The sequence below is a fragment of the Homo sapiens genome, chromosome 10 (genome assembly GCF_000001405.40).
Source record: "Homo sapiens chromosome 10, GRCh38.p14 Primary Assembly".
Lineage (NCBI taxonomy): Eukaryota > Metazoa > Chordata > Mammalia > Primates > Hominidae > Homo > Homo sapiens.
In genome coordinates this window covers 26,813,549-26,835,956 of record NC_000010.11, presented here as the reverse complement: position 1 = coordinate 26,835,956, position 22,408 = coordinate 26,813,549, and the positions used below count along the sequence as shown (strand labels likewise).

Here is a 22,408-nt window from a genome sequence, read left to right as displayed (position 1 = left end):
ACATGGTGAGACCCCAACTTTACAAAAAATGCAAAAAAAGTTAGCCAGACATGGTGGCATGCGCCTGTAGTGCCAGCTACTTGGGAGGATCCCTTGAGCCCAGGATTTCAAGGCTGCAGTGAGCCATAATTGAGCCACTGCACTCTAGCCTGGACCCAGTCTCAAAAAAAAAAAAAAAATATTAGTAAAAATATTTTTTTCCCTTCAAGTAATGGTTGTTGAAAAAGTTGGATACAGAAAAATAGAATATTAAAAATTACCCATATCTCACAACTCAGAAATAACCACTCATGTATCAATATATTTCCTTTTAGAACATTTGTGTGTGTGTGTGTGTGTGTATTTAAAATTAGGTATAGAATAATTTTTTTTTTTTCCTTTGGAGACAGGGTCTAACTCTTTCACCGAGGCTGAAATGCAGTGGTGTGATCATGGCTTACTGCAGCCTCAACCTTCTGGGCTTAAGTGATCCTTCCATCTTAGCCTCCCAAGTAGCTGGGACCACAGGTGTGCACCACCACACCCTGCTAATTTTTAAATTTTTTGTAGAGACGAGGTCTTGCTGTGCTGCTCAGGCTGGTCTTGAACTCCTGAACTCAAGTGATCCTCCCACTTGGGCCTCACAAATTGCTGGAATTACAGGTGTGTGCCATTGTGCCTGACTAATTTTAGTTTTTTGAGGAATCTTCATATTGTTCTTCATAATGACTGTACTAATTTACATTTCAACCAACAGGGTATGGGTATTCCCCTTTCTCCATGTCCTCTCTAGCATCTTTTATTGCCTGTCTTTTTGATATAAGCCATTTTAACTGGGGGTGAGATGATATTGCATTGTGGGTTTTTTTTTTTTTTTTTTTTTTTTTTTGAGGTAGAATCTTGCTCAGTTGCCCACATTGGAGTGCAGTGGCACTGCAGCCTCTGCCTCTCGGTTCAGGTGATTGTCATGCCTCAGCCTCTTGAGTAGCTGGGATTACAGGTGAGTGCCACCACACCTGACTAATTTTTGTATTTTTAGTAGAGATGGGATTTCACCATGTTGGCCAGGCTGTTCTCAAAGTCCTGACCTCAAGTGATTTGCCCGCCTCGGCCTCCCAAAGTGCTGGGATTACAGGCATGAGCTACTGTGCCCGGCTTAATTTTTGTATTTTTAGTAGAGACAGGGTTTCACTATGTTACCTAGGCTGGTCTCGAACTCCTGACCTCAGGTGATCCGCCTGCCTTGGCCTCCCAAAGTGCTGGGATTACAGGCGTGAGCCACCGTGCCTGGTCTGTTGCATTGTGGTTTTGATTTGTGTTTCTCTGATTAATGATGTTGAATATTTTTTCACATACCTGTTTGCCATTCGTATGTCTTCTTTTGTGTGTGTGTGTGTGTGTGTGTGTGTGTGTGTGTGTGTGTGTGTGTTTTGTATGTCTTGAGAAGTATCTGTCCAGATCTTTTGCCATTTTCCTTTTGGATTATTTGTTTTTTTGCCATTGCATTGTATGAGCTCCTTATATATTCTGGTTGTTGGTCCTGTGTCAGATGGATAGTTTGCAAATATTTTCTTCCATCTATGGGTTGTCGTTTTACTTTGTTGATTGTTTCCTTTCTTGTGCAGGAGCTTTTTAGCTTTATGTAATTCCATTTGACTTTGCTTTGTTGCCTGTGCTTTTTGAGGTTGTCATTTTTATTGACTAGATGATATTCCAGTATATTAATTTTTTTTCTTTTTTGTATTTTTGAGATGGAATCTCGCTCTGTCGCCCAGGCTGGAGTGCAGTGGCGTGGTCTCAGCTCACTGCAACCTCCACCTTCCGGGTTCAAGCGATTCTCCTGCCTCACCCTCCTGAGTAGCTGGGATTACAGGCGTGTACCACCACGCCCGGCTAATTTTTGTTTTTTTAGCAGAGCTGGGGTTTCACCATGTTGGCCAGGCTGGTCTCAAAACTCCTGACCTCAGGTGATCCACCCACTTTGGCCTTCCAAAGTGCTGGATTACAGGCATGAGCCACTGTGCCCGGCCCCAGTATATTAATTTTTTAATAATTTGTCATTGGCTATTTAGATCTCTTCTAGTTTTTTTGGTGTTGTAAATAAAGGTGGCATGAATATCCTTGAACATACAGATTTTTTGCATTTGGCCATTTATGTCTTTTGGGTGAATTTCTTGTAATGAAGTGTGTGTGTGTGTGTGTGTGTGTATAAATATTGTGATATACATTATCTGATTGTATTTTTTTTAGTAGTACGTGAGAGTATTTGCCCAAGCTATATTCTTGATCATCATGGCTCTTGCTATATAATTCCTTTTAAGAAGAATTAAAATTATATGAGAAGATAACTTGTTAACATGGAAGGAGTTAATGGAAGGAAGCAAATGTTTTGGACTAATAGAGCTATTTTCTATTAGTAATACTTAAGTATATAACAGATTATGTGTTGAAATGTAGTTCTTTCTAGAGCTGGGGTTTTTCAGGTTTTGCATTAAGACTGTTTTTGAAATGTAAGCCTTGTAGTATGGTGTAGGATGGTAAAAGAGTTTGGGGAAAGCGTCATTGTCTTAGGCTATAGCTGTGGTAAAACTTAAAATTTCAGAGGCTAATTATCTAGTTATTGGGAATACCCTGGGGATACAGATTGAATCGAAAAGGCTTAAAAATATTCTACATTATAGTTAAACTTGGAATTCTGTATACTGAGTAAGTATGCTAGCAGTTGATTGTTCTGTGTAGCTCTCCCGTTAAAGAAGAGAGTATGCCCCAACTGGCATTCCTGTCAGTCACAACTGTGTGACACCACAGGCAGCAGAGGCTTCCCTAGATGTTGCTGGGAATGAATGGGCTTCCAGACCTCTTAGTAGTTGCTTAAGTGGGAGGTGGTAGGGAGGGGCTGTGTTAAAGCTTATAATGAAAGGTCTCAACCTGAATTGTCATGCAAAAAATTTATTTTTTTTGCTGGATACTTGCCATAACCTGGTAGGATTTCTTTTTAGTTTTCACTTTTATTGGAATAGGCGTTCTGCTGGAGAAAATTAGATCCTTTTAGTGGTAGCTAGGCATTGCATATATGTATGCCCTAGTCCCCATGACTCTGTACTTAATAGATTATTTGTCAGTAATGAACCAGCATTTGGCCCATGTGCTCTTTTTTCCCTGATCCTCTCATCTCTCCCCACAGAGTGATTATGGATTCTTCCTGGAAGGTTTCTCAGGTCTCTAACCAACCAGCCCGTTTGTTGGCCTTCAGCAAAGTAGATGTTAGTTTTTGTGTACTTCATAGTGTATAAAATTATTCCTGCAACAGGTATTAAAACCTGAGATTTAAAATCCTTTCCATTGGTGTTAACATACATTATTTATTTATTTATTTTATTTTATTTTATTTTTTGAGATGGAGTCTCACTTTGTCACCCAGGCTGGAGTGCAGTGACGTGATCTCGGTTCACTGCAAGCTCCGCCTCCTGGGTTCACGCCATTCTTCTGCCTCAGCCTCCCAGGTAGTTGGGACTACAGGCGCCCGCCACCATTCCCAGCTAATTTTTTTGTATTTTTTAATAGAGATAGGGTTTCATTGTGTTAGCCAGGATGGTCTTGATCTCCTGACCTCGTGATCCGCCCGCCTTGGCCTCCCAAAGTGCTGGGATTACAGGAGTGAGCCACTGCGCCCGGCCAACATACTTTATTTTTTAAAAGGCCGTTAAATTGAGAAGTGTTTCTTATATACTGTATTTCATGAATTCTAGTAACTGCCCCTCCCCTACTTAGTATCTCTGAAATTGGGAAACACTTTACAAGTAATCATGTCCTTAAAAAGTCATCAGCCAGTCAGCGGTCATGGCATATTTGTCATTGTTTGTGCTTATGTGAATTTGGTTGTTTTTCCTTGTGGCTTAACTGGATTATTGCACCCGTAACCTTTTGAACAACAAACCATTTAAGGACCATTTGAGGATAGGATAGAAGCCAAGTTTTTGTTGTAAAACATTTTTTTGACATCTTCTGGTAAAATCAATAAATTAGCTTCATCAGCGTTTGCAGAATTGGTGTTGGCAGCTTGGAAGAAAATGATGGGAAGAAAACTCTGGAAATAGCTGTGCAACGTTATTTTAGATGTTCCATTATTTGTAAGGGGAAGTTCACAGCATCAGCTATTAATATATAGTATTCTTGACACAATGTTCAATCTGAATCTAATCATGAGGAAACAATCAGATGAATCCAGGTTGTAGGATTTTTTTTACAAGATACCTGGATTTAAAAAATAATTTCTATGTTTTGAAAGGAGAAAAGGGTCAGGATTGGGAGTGTGTTCTGTATTTAAGGATATGAAATAGAAATATGACTGTTAACAGCTATGAACAATCTTTGATTAGATCTTAGATCATATGGAATAAAATAAAACATACGTAAAGAGGTTTTTTTTTCCTTTGAGACAGAGTCTCGCTTTGTCGCCCAGGCTGGAGTGCAGTGGCACTATCTCGGCTCACTGCAAGCTCCGCCTCCTGGGTCCAAGTGATTCTTACGCCTCAGCCTCCCGAGTAGCTGGGATTACAGGTGCCTGCGACCACTCCTGGCTAATTTTTGTATTTTTAGTAGAGATGGGGTTTCACCATGCTGGCCAGTCTGGTCTTGAACTCCTGACCTTAAGCCATCCACCTGCCTGGGCCTCCCAAACTGCTGGGATTACAGATGTGAACCACCATGCCCAGCCACATGTTTTGTATTTTTTTTTTTTGGAAGTTGGAGAAATTTGGGTATAGGTTTGGATTAGAGATAAGTTAAAAGCTATAAAAGACAAATATGTTGTGACAGATGTGACATTTCTAGAAGGAATGGGAGGAGAGTTAAAGACATGGAAACAAAATGGTAGAAAACTTAAAAAAATGCACATGGGACCCTTGTTTTGTTATCTAAGTGGGGTTATTAGACTGTTATCAGTCCCAGCAACTCAGGAGGCTGAGGTGGGAGGATCAGTTGAACCCAGGAGATCAAGGCTGCAGTGAACTATGATCGTGCCACTGCATTCCAGCCTTGGGTACAGAGAAAGACACTGTCTTTAAAATTAAAAAAATGGGCAAAATATTTGAACATTTTATCAATGAAGAAATGGATGCTGCACAAGCACTTGAAAACATTATGATTTGATAGCAAAATGGAAATTAAAACCATAATGAGATACCACTATATACCTACTAGAATATTTAAAATTAAAAAGACTGACCATACCAAGTGTTGGCAAGGATGTGGAGCACTAGAATTTTCATAAGTTTCTAGTGAGAATGCCAAATAATGTTGTTTCTGTTTCTTTGTAAAATAGTTTGGTAGTTTTGTTTTTTTTTTTTTTTTTAAAGGAGACAGGGTCTTGTTCTGTTGCTCAGGCTTGGAGTGTAGTGGTGCAATCACAGCTCATTGCAGCCTCAACCTCCCTGGCCCAACTGATCCTCCCACCTCAAGCTCCCAAGTAGCTGGGACCACAGGCATAAGCCACCAGGCCTATCTGATTTTTTATTTTTGTAGAGACAGGGTGTCACTATGTTGCTCAGGCTGGTCTCGAACTCCTGAGCTTAAGCAGTCCTCTCGCCATGACCTCCCAAAATGCTGAGATTACAGTCATGAGCCCCCATGCCCAACTGGTAGTTTCTTACAATGTTAAATATACACTTAACTTACCATGTGACTCAGCAGTTGTATCTTTAGGTATTACCCAAAAGAAATGAAAACATACCTCCACACAAGACCTTCTACTCAAATATTCTTAGTAGCCCAGAACTGGAAACAACCCAAATGTCCATCAGCTGATAAATGGAGAAACAAATTAGGATACATCCATACAATAGAACACTACTTAGCGGTAACAAGGATGAATCTTAAGGGCATTCTGCTAAGTGGAAGAAGCCAGATACAGAAGACTGTAGCTTTCAATTCTATTTATATGAAACTCTAGAAAAGGCAAAACTGTTGTGACAGAAAGGAAGTCAGTGGTTTCCAGGGTCCGGAGGATGGGGAGGGAGTTATGAGGGAAATGTTCTTTATCATGGTGGTTATACTACTGTACCCATTTATCAAAGCACATTGAATTGTACACTGAAAATTTTTAAATTTTAATGTATGCATTTCGTACTTAATATTAATGCTGACCTCCCTTCCTCATCCAAGAAAAAAATGAGGTGATCCATAGCATCCTACAAAAGTCGCTAGTGACTTTTTGGTTTGTTTTTATCTTTTTAATATTGTTATGAAGTCTTAAATGTAAACATTTTGTGTGTTTCATTCCATTGAAGTTATGATCCTCATTGATCCTTACATTGAGTCCTTTTGACATGACCCTAGAAAATTCCTCGGTGGCTTTTTTGTTTTGTTGTTTATTTATTAAAATTGACATATAAAAATTGTGTATATTTATGATGTACAATATTTTTTGAAATGTGCATACATTGTGGAATGTCTAAGTTAAGCTAATTAACATACATTGCCTCACAAAGTTTCTTTTTGTGGTGAGAACCTTAAAATTTACTCTCAGCAATTTTCAAGTATACAATAAGTTATTATTAACTATAGTCACCAAATTGTAACCAGGTACCTTTTGATACACAGCCTGTTTTAGGTGCATCACTATACGGATTATAGGTGGTGCTCCATGGCTGCTAGACAGTCTTTATTCTTAGATCTTTTCATTGGACAGAGCTGGGATATTATGATGTGATAAATACATTTTAGGTTTAAACTGGTGCTTTTTTTTTTTTTTTGAGACAGAATCTCGCTCTGTCACCTAGGTTGGAGTGCAGTGGCGCGATCTGGGCTCACTGCAAGCTCCGTCTCCCAGGTTCACGCCATTCTCCTGCCTCAGCCTCCCGAGTAGCTGGGACTACAGGCGCCTGCCACTGCGCCCGGCTAATTTTTTGTATTTTTAGTAGAGATGGGGTTTCACCGTGTTAGCCAGGATGGTCTCGATCTCCTGAGCTCGTGATCCGCCCGCCTTGGCCTCCCAAAGTGCTGGGATTACAGGCGTGAGCCACCGCGCCCGGCTAAACTGGTGCTTTTAGTTTAAATCTAGAACTAAAGGATTCTTTCTTAACCTGGATTTTCTTATGTCAAAATCTATTTTGAACCATGCCCCAAATTTCAGTTCTCAGTGACATAATTAATGATTTGCTATATCCCACCCTATGCAAATAACAGTATCGGTAATAATTTCAGTATTAACACCAGCAATAAAGAGACTAAAAACAATTTCAGTTTTTCCTTCCCCTCTTTCAATTACTTTTATTCTAATGGTAAATCCTATTAAGAATGTACATTCGAATTACTGTGCTTTGAAGCCACTTGTAGAGTGGTTTCTCTCTGGTTTAGGCCACTAATTGGATGCACAGTTAGGCTCATTTGATTAATTTACCTTTACTTTGGGGTAATTCCTTTTTAAATTTAAATTTTATTTTATAATTGTGTGAATTATTTACAGGCATGCTTCTCTTTATTGTGCTTTGCTTTACTGCGCTTTGCAGACTGCGTGTTTTACAAATTGAAGGTTTCTGGCAACCTTGCATCGAGCAAGTGTTGGTGCCGTTTTTCTAAGGGCATGTGCTTACTTTGCATGTCTCTGTCATATTTTGGTAATTCTTAAAATATTTCAAACCTTTTTATTATTACTGTATCTGTTATGGTGATATTCGATGTTATTACTGTAATCGTTTTGGGGCACCACAAACTGCACTCATGTGAGATGGTGAACTTAGTAATTGTTGTATGTTCTGACTGTACCACCAACTGACCATTCCTTCTGTCTCTCCCTCTCTTTGGGCCTCCCTATTGCCTGAGATGCAACAATATTGAAATTGGGCCAATTCATAACCCTATGTTGGCCTCTAAGTGTTCAAGTGAAAGAATTGCGTGTTTCTCATTTAAAATAAAAAACTACTAATGGGAGCTTAGCGAGGAAGGCAAGTCAAAAGCTGAGATAGGCCAAACGTTAAGCCTCTTGCTGCAAACTTTAGCTAAGTTGTGAATGCAAAGGAAAAGTTCTTGAAGGACATTAAAAGGGCTAGTCCACTGAACACATGAATCATAAGAAAGAGAAAAGCTGGCCGGGTGCGGTGGCTCACGCCTGTAATCCCAGCACTTTGGGAGGCTGAGGTGGGTGGAATCACAAGGGACAGGAGTTCAAGACCAGCCTGGCCAGCATGGCAAAACCCTGTCTCTACTAAAAATACAAAAAATACCTGGGCATGGTGGCTTATGCCTGTAGTCCCAGCTACTTGGGAAGCTGAGGCAGGAGAATTGCTTGAACCCAGCAGGCAGAGTTTGCAGTGAGCCGAGATCACTCCATTGCACTCCAGCCTGAGTGACAGAGCAAGACTCCATCTCAAAAAAAAAAAAAACAAAAAACAGAAAGTGAAAAGCCTTATTGCTGATAGGGAGAAAGTTTTAGTGGTCTGGATAGAAGGTCAAACCAGGCTGGGCGTGGTGGCTCACACCTGTAATTCCCCTGCATTTTGGGAGGCGGAGGTGGATGGATCACAAGGTCAGGAGATCGAGACCATCCTGGCTAACATGGTGAAACCCTATCTCTACTAAAAATACAAATAATTATCCAGGTGTGGTGGCAGGCACCTATAGTGCCAGCTGCTTGGGAGGCTGAGGCAGGAGAATGGCATGAACCTGGGAGAAGGAGCTTGCGGTGAGCCGAGATCACGCCACTGCACTCCAGCCTGGGCGACAGAGTGAGACTCTGTCTCGAGATAAAAAAAAAGAAGGTCAAACCAGGCCGGGCACGGTGGCTCACGCCTGTAATCCTTGCACTTTGGGAGGCCGAGGCTGGTGGATCATGAGGTCAGGAGATCAAGACCAGCCTGGACAACATGATGAAATCCTGTCTCTACTAAAAATACAAAAAATTAGGCAGGCATGGTGGCTCGTGCCTGTAGTCCCAGCTACTTGGGAGGCTGAGGCAGGAGAATCTCTTGAACCTGGGAGGTGGAAGTTGCAGTAAGCCAAGATTGTGCCACTGCACTCCAGCCTGAGCAACAGAGCGAGACTCCGTCTCAAAAAAGAAAAAAAAAAAAAATCAAACTAGCCACAATATTCCCTTAAGCCAAAGCCTAATTCAGAACAAGGCCCTAACTGTTCAGTTCTGTGAAGGCTGAGAGAGGTGAGGTGAGAAAGCTATAGAAGAAAAGTTGGAAGCCAGCGGGTTCATGAGGTTTAAGGAAAGCAGCCATCTCTATAACGTGAAAGTGCAAGGTAAAGCAGCAAGTGCTGATGTAGAAGCTGCAGCAAGTTACCCAGAAGATCTAGCTAAGATTATCGAAGGTTGCTACACTTAATATCAGATTTTCCATGTAGACGAAACAGTCTTCTATTGGGAGAAGATGCCGTCTAGGGCTTTTACAGGGAGAGAGGAGAAGCCCATGCCTGGCCTTCAAAGGCTAGGCTGACTCTCTTGTTAGGGGCTAATGCAGCTGGTGACTTTAAGTTGAATCCAGTGCTCATTTGCCATGCTGAAAATCCTAAGGCCCTTTAGAATTATGCTGAATCTGCTCTGCTTGTGCTCTTTAACCAGAACAACCAAGCCTGGATGACAGCATATCTGTTTACAGCATGGTTTATGGAATCTTTTAAGCCAACTGTTGAGACCTGCTCGGATAAAAAGATTCCATTCAAAATATTACTGCTCATTGACAGTGCACCTAGTCATCTAAGATGGTGATGTATAAGGAGATTAATGTTGTTTTCATGCCTGCTAACACATACTTATTTTGCAGCCCCATAGAGTAATTTTGACTTTCCAATCTTACTATTTAAGAAATACATTTTGTAAGGCTATAGCTGCCTTAGATAGTGATTCCTCTGATGAACTTGGGAAAAGTAAATTGAAAACTTTCTGGAAAGGATTCACCATTCTGGATGCCATTAGGAACATTAGTAATTCATGGGAGGAGGTCAGAATATCAACATTAACAGGATTTTGGAAGAAGTTGATTCCAGCCCTCATGGATGATGCTGAGGGGTTCAAGACTTCAGTGGAGGAAGTAACTGCAGATATGGTGGGAACAGCAAGAGAACTAATGAGAATTAGAATTGGAGCCCGAAGAAGTGGCTGCAATCTCACAAGAAAACTTGAATGGATGAGTTGTTCCTTATAGGTGAACAAAGGAAATAGTTTCTTGAGATAGAATCTACTCCTGCTGAAGACGCTGTGAACCTTGTTGAAATGACAACAAAGGATTTGGAATATTACATAAATTTAGTTGATAAAGCATCGGTAGTGCTTGAAAGGATTGACTCATTAAAATTTTATTTACTTATTTATTTTTGAGACAGAGTTTTGCTCTTGTTGCCCAGGTTGGAGTACGGTGGCACGGTCTCAGCTCACTGCCACCTCTGGCTCCTGGGCTCAAGCGATTCTCCTGCCTCAGCCTCCCAAGTAGCTGGGATTACAGGCACATACCACCATGCCAAGCTATTTTTTGTATTTTTAGTAGAGACAGGGTTTCACCATGTTGACCAGGCTGATCTCGAACTCCTGACCTCAGGTAATCCTCCCGCCTCAGCCTCCCAAAGTGCTGGGATTACAGGCGTGAGCCATGGCACCCGGCCAAAAAAAATTTTTTTTTCAGAGACAGGGTCTCACTGTGTTGCCCAGGCTGTCCTCAAACTCTTGGGCTTAAGCAATTCTCCTGCCTCAGTCTCCCAACTGGCCAGGATTGCAGGTACAAGCCGCCACCACACCCAGGCTTGATTTCAGTTTTGAAAGAAGTTCTACTGAGGGTAAAATGCTATCAAATATCGCATGCCATAGAGAAATCTTGTTAAAACAAAAGTCAATAGATGCAGCAAATTTCATTGTTGTCTTATTTTAAGAAATTGCCCCAGCTACCCCAACCTTCAAAAATCCCACCCTGATCAGTCAGCAGCCATCAATATGGAGGCAAAGCCCTCCACCAGCACACAAATATTAGGACTCTCTGAAGGCTCTGAAGATGGTTAGCATTCTGTTTTAAGCAATAAAGTATTTTTAATTAAGGCATGTACCTAGTTTTTTTAGACATAGTACTATCGCACATTTAATAGACTACAGCATAATATAAACATAACTTTTATATATACACTGTCTCTAGCCAAAACCGCAGTATCTTTGCAGTGTGCCTGTATGTAGTTCCAAAGAGAAATCTGTGAAACAAGATATGCTTAAGGGATTCTATCTACTGTCCATGTTTTCTCTATCCTATTTATTACCTCTCCTCCTGTATGTGATTTTTTTTTTAATGCCAAGGTTTGTTTTTCCTTTAAAAAAACATGCATTTTCATATTTCCCTCTGTTAAGAAGTAGCATATTATACACATTTTTTCCCACATTTTTTTTTTCACCTTAGCAATATTCTGGAGATCATGGAGTCATGGTAACAGAGAAATTCCTTGAATTCCTTGTCCTTATTATGGCAGTATAATACTCTATTGTGTGGAGATATTATAGCTTATTCAAACAGTCTCCTATTGATAGTTATATGGGTTGTTTCCAGTCTTCTGCTATTATAGATAGTGCTGCAGTGAATAACTGTGTACATATGGTTTTGTATTTTTGCCAGTGATTTTTTGAGATACATTCCTAAAAGTGAGCTTACTGGGTCAGAAAGTAAATCTGTGTGTAATATTGCTGGATATCACTTACCAGTGCATCAGAGTTTTTTCTCACAGCTTTGCTGAGTGTCTTGTCAGACTTTTGTATATTTGTCATTTGGGTGAATGAGAAATAGTATCTCATATTGGTTTGCACTTGCATTTCTTTCCTATAATGAGTGAGGTTGAACATCTTTTCAGTGGTTAAGAGTGGTTCCATTGCTTTTTTGGTGAGCTTTCTGTTAGATCTCTGTTCCATTTTTTTTTTCTGTGTAGAACTGGAAGGGACGTGAGACCATTTTGTTTAGTCTCTGAGTTCATGACACTGATACCTGGAGAAATAAATGATTTTCCTGAAGTTGTAGGTAGCTAGGATAGCCTTTTTTTTTTTCATTTTTAGATTATATGTTAGTGATATTTACTCTTTGTGGTGTAAGTTGTTGATTCCCCTTCTTACCCACCTACAGTTTGTCACCTTTTAACCTTGCTCCTCTTTGAGGAGTTCTTGCCTTCTGAGTTATCTATAGGAGTTTGGGAAGAAGGGGTGGGTAAGGAATTGGAGCACATAAGATTCACAGTAGTTTTTGTGGGGCATGATAGGCTTGAATCATCATAGATAACAAGGAAGTTGGATTTCCGATGGTGGTTAGTGGACACAGGAATATAAGGCAGATTGGATTTAGTCCATTTCATTGTAAGTGGATTGGGAGCTTGAGGCTGACAGTAAAGTCCTTATGATGTAATGCAGTGAATTGGTGATGGAAAGGGTCTAGGCAAGGAGAACCAGTTGGTGCAGTGTGTCTCTGATACTGTGACTACAGTTAGTGGCCCCTTTAGTGGATGAGCTACTCAGGAGAGAGTGGTTCCCAGCTGGCACATAGGGATTTCTGCCATGGCTTAATTCAGTAGTATCCTGAGACTATCATATTGGTACAGTGAGTTTTTTTTTATTGAATTTCTCTAGTAAAATAATATAACTTTGCCTTTCTATAGAATATATATTTAATGAATGTTAATCTAAATAAGTATTTGTTGTTTTTGTTCTTATTTCAGGCTACAGACAAGAGAAAAGCTTTAGAGGAGACCAAAGCCTATACAACCCAATCTCTAGCTAGTGTTGCTTATCAAATAAATGCATTGGCCAACAATGTACTCCAGTTGCTGGATATCCAAGCCTCTCAGCTTCGGAGAATGGAGTCTTCCATCAATCATATCTCACAGGTAACAGCTTATAAAATGCTTTAAATTCAATTTAAAAAAAACTACAGCATATGCCAAAGAAGTAAATAGCCTGCATGTATGGATTTCTGACTCATCTTACTGGTGATAATCATTAACACTGTTTTAGTTTGGTAAACCTGCTGTTTTTCTTTTAGTCCTTTTTTTATCATGATAAGGTAAACATAACATAAAATTGACCATTTTAACCATTTTTAAGTGTATAATTCAGTAGCATTAAGTACATTCACATTGTACAACTGTCACCACTGTCCTACTGTTAAGAGCTTTTCTGACGTAAAGTTATTTGTACATAAAGAACAGAATTTTTATAAGTTTTGACACACATGTATACCCATGTGACCATCAACACATTCAAGATAATGAACCATCCCCTTTCCCCCTGCCAAATTTCTTCATTCTCCTACGTAATCCCTCCCTCTTGTCCCTTGTCCTTAGGGTTTCTGTCCCTAGAGATTAGTTTACATTTTCTAAATTTTTATATAAATGGAATCATATAGTATTTACTAATTTTTTTTTTGGTCTGGCATGTTTTACTATGGATAATTATTTTGAGATTCATTCATGTTTTTGCATGTAAAAGTAGTTCACTCTTTTATTGCTGAGTAGTTTCTATTGTTACACATTTTGTTTATGTGTTCACATGTTGATGGAAATCTGGGTTGTTTTTAGGTTTTGGCTATTACAAATCCTATGAAAACATTTGTATGCAAATCTTTGTGTGGTCATATGCTTTTATTTCTTTTGGGTAAGTACCTCTGTGCAGAATGGAGAGGTCATGTGGTAGGTGTCTGTTTCACTTTAGAAGAACCTACCAAATTGTTTTTCAAAGTGGTTATACCACTTAGTCTTAGTTTGCTGAGTGTTCTTATCAGGAATGGGTGGTGAATTTTATCAAACGCTTCTTTGCATTTGTTGAAATGATCATATATATGTGTGTGTATGTATATATATATATGTCTATTAATATGGTGAATTACATTGGTTTGTGTGTGTATTAGGAATTTTTGTTTCTGTACTCTTGAGTGCTGTTGGGCTGTGGTTTTCTTGTAATGCCTTTGTCTGGTTTTGGTGTCAGTGTAATGCTGGTTTTATTGACTGTAATGGGCAGTATTCCATCTGGACCTGGAGTGTTCCTGGTGAAAAGGATTTTAACTACATATTTAATTTCCTTTGTGGATACAAGCCTATTCTGTTTATTTGTTTTTCCTTGAGTGAGCTTTTTATCTTTCTAGGAATTTAGCTATTTCACCTAAATTGACAGATTTATTTGCATAAAACATTTATAATAATCCTCCTGCTTTGTTTTTTTTTTTTTTTGAGACAAGAGTCTTGCTCTGTTGCCCAGGCTGGAGTGCAATGGCGTGATCTTGGCTCTCTGCATCCTTCGCCTCCTGGGTCCAAGCAATTCTCCTGCCTCAGCCTCCCAAGTAGCTAGAATTACAGGCGCTCGCCACCACGCCTGGCTAATTTTTTGTATTTTTAGTAGAGACGGGGTTTTGCCATGTTGGCCAGGCTGGTCTTGAATTCCTGATCTCAAGTGATCCACCCACCTTGGCCTCCCAAAGTGTTGGGATTACATGCTTGAGCGACAGCACCCTGCCTAATCTCTTATTTTAAAAATATCTGTAGAATCTATAATAATTTCACATTGCTCATTCTTCATATTGGTAATTGGTGTCATCTTTCTTTTTTAAACTAATCATTATGGCTAGTTTACCAACTTTATCGATATTAAAAACATCTTTGGCCTTATTAATTTTCTATGTTTTTGTTTTCTGTTGCATTGATTTCCATTCTGATCTTTATTATTTCTTTTTCTTTTCCTTACCTTGGGATTGATTTGCTCTTATTTTATACTTTTTTTTTTTTTTTTAGATGGAGTCTTGCTCTGATGCCCAGGCTGGTGTGCAGTGGCATGATCTCGGCTCACTGCAACCTCCATCTTTCAGGTTCAAGCCTTTCTTGTGCCTTACCTTTCTGAGTAGCTGGGATTACAGGTGCACCTCACCACGCCCAGTGAACTTTTTTGTATTTTTAGTAGAGGCAGGGTTTCACCATGTTGGCCAGGCTGGTCTCAAACTCCTGGGCTCAAGTGATCTGCCTGCCTTGGCCTCCCGAAGTGCTAGGATCGCAGGTGTGAGCCACCACACCCAGCCTTATTTTATACTTTATTAAGGTGAAAGCCAAGGTCATTTAATTTACTTGAGACCCTTAATCTTTTCTAACATAGGTGTTTAGGTCTGTAAATGTCCCTCTAAATAGTGTATTATTGGGAGGCCGAGGTGGGTGGATCATGAGGTCAGGAGTTCAAGACCAGCCTGACCAAGATGGTGAAACCCTGTCTCTACTAAAAATACAAAAATTAGCCGGGCGTGGTGGCGGGCACCTGTAATCCCAGCTACTCACTCAGGAGGCTGAGGCAAATTACTTCAACCTGGGAGGCGGAGGTTGCAGTGAGCCGAGATCGCGCCACTGTACTCCAGCCTGGGTGACAGAGCAAAACTCTATCTCAAAAAAAAAAAAAAAAAGTGCATTAGCTGTATCTCATACATTTAGATATGTTATGCTTTCATTTTCATTTAGCTGAATATAATTTCTAAGTTTGCTTTTTTATTTCTTTCTGACCCAGGGGTTATTGGAAATGTGTTGCTTAGTTTGCAAGTATTTTCAGGTTTTGCAAGGATATTTCTGCTGTTGATTTTTCTAATTTAATTTCTTACTGGTCAGAAAAATACACCTCATTTGATTTTTTTTTCATTAAGTAGCTTTCCCCCGCAGCTTTATTGAGTTATAATTGACACAAAAATCATATATATTTAAGATGTACAATGTGATGTTTTGATATACATATACATTGTGAAATGATTACCACTATCAAGCTGACTAGCATATCTATCACCTCACACAGCTACTTTTTTTGTGTGTGGCGAGAGCATTTAAGATTTCCTCTTTTAGCAAATTTCAAGTCTACAACCCTATATTATTAACTATAGTCATCATGCTGTACATTAGATCTCCAGAACTTATTCATCCTGCATAGCTGAAACTTTGTACCCTTTGAGCAACAGCTCCCCATTTCCCTTACCCCCTAGTCTCTGACAACTACCATTCTACTCTCTGCTTCAGTGAGCTTTGATTTTTTTAGATTCCACATCTGAAAAAGGGAGATCATTCAGGGTTTGTCTGTCTGCGCCTAGCTTATTTCACTTACTGTAAGGTCCTACAGGTTCATCTGTTGTGTCATGTTGCAAATAACAGAATTTTCTTTTTTAAGGCTGAATAATAGGAATTGTAGTCTGTTTAAATAAATGTATATGTATATCCCCCCCATATTTTCCTATTCATCCATTGATAGACACCTAGATTGATGCTGTGTCTTGGCTATTCTGAATAATACTTTATATGCTGTGAGTCCTTTCATATTTATTAAGAATTGTTATATATCCCAGAATATGCTCTGTCTTGGTAAATGTTTTGTGTGCATTTGAGAAGAATGTGTATTTTTCTCTGGTCAGGTGGAATGTCTATAAATCTCATTAAGTCAAGTTGGTTGATAATATTCAATTCTTCTGTATCTTTACTGATTCTATCTAATTGTTTTATCAATTATTAAGGAAGGTAAATTGAAATCTCCAACTATAATTCTGAATGTCTATTTTTCTTTGCATTTTAGTCTTTTTTCTGTTACGTATTTTGAAGTGATACTATATTAGGTACACAAATGCTTTGGCTTGTTAGGTCCACTTGATGAATAGACCCTTTATCTTTGTAAAGCCTCTTTTTATCTTGGGTAGTATTCTTCAGAAATCTGCTTTGTCTGATATGAATACAACCATTCCAGCTTTCCTTTTATCCTCTTTTTCTGCCTCCTTGTGTGTTAATGGAGTGAATTTTTTTTGGGGGGGGTGCTGATTTGGTGTAACACTTTGTTCTGCTTCTCTCTTTTATTATTTCATTCATGTTTGCCTTAGGGCTTCTGGTAAACATCTTTAAACTTTTTAATATCACTTGAAGGTAGACTATGCTATTACTTCAGGAGTATGTTTAAGACTTTGTAATAGTTGATTCCACTTCTCTCCTGTCTTAGGGCTGTTGGTGTCATGCACTTTCTTTTTTCTTTTATTGAGACGGAGTCTCGCTCTGTCACCCAGGCTGGAGTACAGTGGTGCGATCTCGGCTCACTGCAACCTCTGCCTCCCACGTGCAAGCAATTCTCTGTCTCAGCCTCCCGAGTGAGTAGCTGGGATTATGGGTGCCCGCCACCATGCCCGGCTAATTTTTGTATTTTTAGTAGAGACAGGGTTTCACCATCTTGGCCAGGTTGGTCTTGAACCCCTGACCTCGTGATCCACCCACCTCGGTCTCCCAGAGTACTGGGATTACAGATTACAGGTATAAGTCGCCACGCCTGGCTTGTGTCACGCATTTTCTTTTTGTGTATGTTTTAAACCCCACAATGCTTTGCTCTTTTTTTTTTTTTTTTTTGTGACGGGGTCTCGCTTTGTTGTCCAGGCTGGAGTGCAGTGGCGTGATCTTGCCTCACTGCAACCTTTGCCCCTGCCTTCCCCCACCCCACCTTCCCAGTTTCAAGTGATTCTTATGTCTCAGCCTACTGAGTAGCTAGGATTACAGGTGCATGCCAGCTAATTTTTGTATTTTTAGTAGAGACGGGGTTTCACCATGTTGGCCAGGTTGGTTTCAAACTCCTGACCTCAAGTGATCTGCCTGCCTTGGCCTCCTAAAGTGCTGGGATTACAGACATGAGCCACTGTGCCTAGCCATTATTTTTGTTTTGAAAAGCAACTAGCTTTGAATGAGATTTAATATGAGGAAATTAATTCCTTTATATTTACCCATAGTTATTATTTCTGATCAGAAAATATACATTATATGATTTGAGTCCTTTCAAATTTGTTAGGAATTTTTTTTTTTTTTTTTTTTTTTTTTTTTTTTTTTTTGAGATGGAGTCTTGCTCTGTCTCCCAAGCTGGAGTGCAGTGGCACCATCTTGGCTCACTGCAACCTCTGCCTCCTGGGTTCAAGCCATCCTCCTGCCTCAGCCTCCCGGGTAGCTGGGACTTCGGGCATGCGCCACCATGCTCAGCTATTTTTTTTTGTAGTTTTAGTAGAGATGGGATTTCACCATGCTGGCCAGGCTGGTCTCAAACTCCTGACCTCAAGTGATCTGCCTGCCTCGGCCTCCCAAAGTGCTGGGATTACAGACATGAGCCACCGTGCCCGGCCAGGAATTGTTTTATAGCCCAGAGTTTTGGTGGTTTTTATTCCCTTGGAATACTTTAGCATGAAGTGTTGCTCTATTCTGCTGGTGATGAGTTCTTTCAGCTTTTGTATATCTAAAAGAGATTTTTGCTTTTTATCCCTGTTTATTATTGTGGCAGAATATGCATAAGATAAAATTGATCATTCAACCATTTTTAAGTGTACAGTGGCATTAAGTACCTTGACATTGTTTTGTAATTATCACCACCATTCATCTCCAAAACTTCTTTCCTTTTTCCAAACTGAAACAATGTACCTGTTAAGCACTAACTCTCCATCCGCAAGTGATCCTCCCACCTCAGCTTCTTGAGTAGCTGGGACTACGGACATGTGCCATTGTGCCCAGCTTATTTTCATGTTTGGTGGTATCCTGTTGCCTTTTTAGATTTTAGGACAAAATTGATATAGATTGGAACTTTGCTAAAATAATTTTTTTTGTAGAACAGAATCTAGTGTAGAGTGATTCATGCTGGTTCTTGAGGACTTGCACAATGTCTGGCAAATGACTGGTTTGCAGTGTTTACTGAATTAAAATAAATCTCTTGGCCGGACATGGTGGCCTGTAATCCCAGCACTTTGGGAGGCTGAGGTGAGTGGATCATTTGAGGTCAGGAGTTTGAGACCAGCCTGGCCAACATGGTGAAACCCCGTCTCTACTAAAAATACAAAAATTAGGCGGGCGTGCTAGCAGGCACCTGTAATCCCACCTACTCAGGAGGCTAAGGCAGGAGAATCGCCTCAACTCGGGAGGCAGAAGTTGCAGTGAGCTGAGATCCCACCAGTGTACCTCAGCCTGGGCGACAGAGTAAGACTCCGTCACACACACACACACACACACACACACACACACAAAGTCTTTGCAAAATTACTTAGGAAAAATATAATAGAACCTAGTTTTTAGTTGATTCTTATACATGGATTATAACCAGAGGATCACTGTACATTTTATGTATAGGCAGTGATTATTTTGCATGGTTATTGGAGATTATAAAAAATGGTGATGCATGCTCAAGGTATACAAAACAATCTTACTAGTCAATGGGTAAAATTATGGTTGTTCTGTGATCTGTAAAATTTTTTGTCAAAACATTAAAATCTCTCTTTTTGTTATAAATGAATAGAGAAATGAAAAAAAAGTTATGCTAATGTTTAGTATACCATAATGTAAAACATTCGAGGTATTGAGAATTAAAGGGTTTTATTTCTTAAGAAAGTAGTTTGAATAGTGCTTGCTACCTTCTCACTGTGTAAGTTGTTATGAAGCACACATTTTTTTCTGTGCCTTGGCAAATTGTCATTCTCCTTTCTCTGGGTGGATCAGCTCCTCTCAACATTTTATCCTTTGGATTTTAAATGTTGTGAAATATCTTCTAGAGTTTCTTTAACATAAAGTTTTTATGGGTATCATTTTATCTGTAGTATCTTCTTCCCTTTCTTCTCAGCCACTTTGTTCATTTATGTTAATACATTTGCCTTCATGATATTCTTCTGGCTGCATATCTGTAGTCTCCTGAATGGCAGCAATGTTAGCATTCCTGTATGCATTATTTCTGTTTTAATCCCATTTACATTCAATTCGAATTTCACCTCTATCTAGCATTATCACTTTTCATGTATTTGCTGCAGTTTCATCTTTGTTGGCCAGTTCTCTCTTTGATACCCAGTTTTGTAAAATGTCACAATGGCTTATCATTTAGGGGACAAGGAAGCAGCACAACTATGTACTTTGTAGTCTGTGGATAAACTTAATATCAGATGTACAGAGACCATTCACCAATAAACTTTGAAACAAAGACACGATTGGTAACCAGTAATGATGCTCATCTGTTACTTATGTGGACTTCAGACCTAGCAGCGAAGTTTCTGCTTTGTGCGATTATTTATAGTTCTTGTGGTAACTGAAATTTATTTATTTTTATGTTTTTATGAGACAGAATCCTGTTCTGTTGCTCAGGCTGGAGTGCAGTGGCACAGTCATAGTTCACTGCAGCTTTGAACTCCTGGGCTCAAATGATCCTCCCGCCTCAGCCTCCTGAGTAGCTGGGACCACAGATGCACACCACCATACCCAGCTAATTTTTTTGGGTGGTGAGGTAGAGATGGGATCTTGCTGTGTTGCCCAGGCTGGTCTTAAATTCCTTGCTTCAAGTGATCTTTCCACCTTGGCCTTCCAAAGTGCTGGCACTACAGGTGTGAACCACTGCACCTGAATGTAACTGAAATTTAAATTGTGTAGTTGGAGGACTGGTGTTAACTAAAATATGGTAACTGAAATTCATGCGTATCAGAACTGTGCAAAACAACTGCCTATATTTTGTTTTTTCAGTAACAAAACATTTTCAAATTATTTTTCTTCTTTATTTAATTATGAATATTCTCTGTGTTCTGCTGAGCTTACTGAATTCAATTCTCATTCTTTGGAAGATGTCTTAATTCATACAGATGTAGTTATTTCAGTAGATTTAAAAATAAAGCTGTTAATACTATCAATTGACTTACTGAATCATAAAAAAATTAAGGTGACTAGGTAAATGAAGCTTTTGTAATTCTGTAAATTACATTGAATTACTTGGAACTCTTAAATGCAGCTGAAATCTAATTGGCTAAATTTACATAAAAACAGGCTTTTGGGGGGGGCATTTATTCTTAATTGGGGAATTAAAAAGAGTATTTCCTTGCTCTTCCAAATTGCTATTCTTAAAACATTGTTTAAGTAAATGCATTGTAGTGAAAGAAATTTTTTTTTAAATCTCTCAGAGCTTTATGAGGGATTTACATCTGTCATACCTTGGCTGTTGAGTGGTGTGTTTTTAGTTAAAATTCTGCTTTATAATCTCTTAATACAGCATAGATTATGTGCCAATTAGGACATAATCTCAAAATTTAGAATTCAGAGCTTGTTTGAGTTTTCAGTTTCAAAAAATTTTTAAACTAAAACAAACAAAAATCATCTCCAATTCTATCAGGACTTGGATAAACTAAACCTTAATTATTTCAGGAAAGAGTCCCTTTCCTTTCAGTGTGGAGCTTTTAACTTTCTGTTTGTGTGTTGACATGTTTTAGATTTATAAAGTTTTCTATTTTAACAATTTTATCCCCCATTTTTCCTGTCTTAGATTAAGTTACCAAATATTAGTAGCTTTCCTTGGTGAAGTAATTACTGATAAGTCCTTTCTGTAACCAATATTCACTTCTTATTTTGTAAATTTTTAAAAGATTCTTATAGTGATATTTCTTATGACACAGTAGTCATCTAAAGGTGCCAGTCACTTTTCCTGGAAAATATAGGAAGTAATACTAGGAGAAAGTGTGCAACTGTTAAATTCTTTCACATCACCAACTTTTTCACAATTAAAGTATTTGCTTTGTAGAGTGCTTAGCAATGTCCATTATGATTTCTTTTTTCCATTGGCAATTTTGGGCTTCCCTCACATCATGGAAGTTAGAACTGGAAGGGACATGAGATCATTTGGTTTATTCTCTGATGTTATAGTTTGTGACACTGATGCCCAAAAAAATAAATGATTTGCCTGAAGTCGTAGGTAGCTAGTATAACATTAGAAATCAAAAGATGGGCATCTTGACTCATAGATGATCCACTGATTTTCTCTTCTGTACTACAATGCCTCCAATTTGTAATCAGAGTCTTCAAAATTTAGGAATTGGATGAATTGCCCCATCCAGTCTATTTCTACAGTGGGCTCACAAAACCTTATATAACAAACCTTCAAAGTAACTGCATCTTTTAGGAGACTGTTTAGTTTTATATAGGCAAAAACCTAGTTACTGTGGGCACTGGGGAGGTAGGGCGGGTACCTAGAATGGAAACACTAACTGAGTCAGTGCTCTGGTTTCTCAGATGTTTTGTTAGGAACCTTTTACATCTTAAATTATTGAGGATCTACGTGGGCTTTGGATTCATTGGGTAGATCTTCCAGTATTTATCATATCAGATATTCAAACAAATTTAAAAAGTATTTAACTCATTTAACAATAAAAGAAATCCACTGTTAGTACAAATAACATTTTAATGAAAAAAACTGTTATCCAAAACAAATAAATTTATGAGAAGAGTGGCATTGTTTTACATTTCTGAAAGTGTCTTTAAAATGTTTGGTAAGACGATCACTGGGTTCTCATGTCTGCTTCTTCATTCACTCTGTTGTGATTTGTTGTTTGGGTTGAAGTATGTGAAGAAATTTTGCTTCACAAAAATATGTAGTTAGAAAAGACAGGATCTTGGGAACTTCAGGAGTCTTTAGATCAGTCAGAGAACTATTGCTTTATGT

At 39.0% G+C, this 22,408-nt stretch overlaps 1 protein-coding gene across 30 annotated transcripts in view; it reads left to right on the top strand.

The window, feature by feature from the left end:
• ABI1 (abl interactor 1) overlaps positions 1-22,408 on the top strand; it is a 114,363-nt gene that overhangs the window by 25,002 nt on the left and 66,953 nt on the right. For all 30 annotated transcript variants that reach the window (NR_145410.2, XR_007061931.1, NM_001178125.2 and 27 more), the window contains one exon: positions 12,652-12,819. Coding sequence is in view for 28 of the 30 variants with exons in the window: in NM_001178125.2 (NP_001171596.1) it covers positions 12,652-12,819 (168 nt within the window). In the remaining 2 variants the exon portion in view is untranslated. The remainder of the gene's footprint in view (positions 1-12,651; positions 12,820-22,408) is intronic.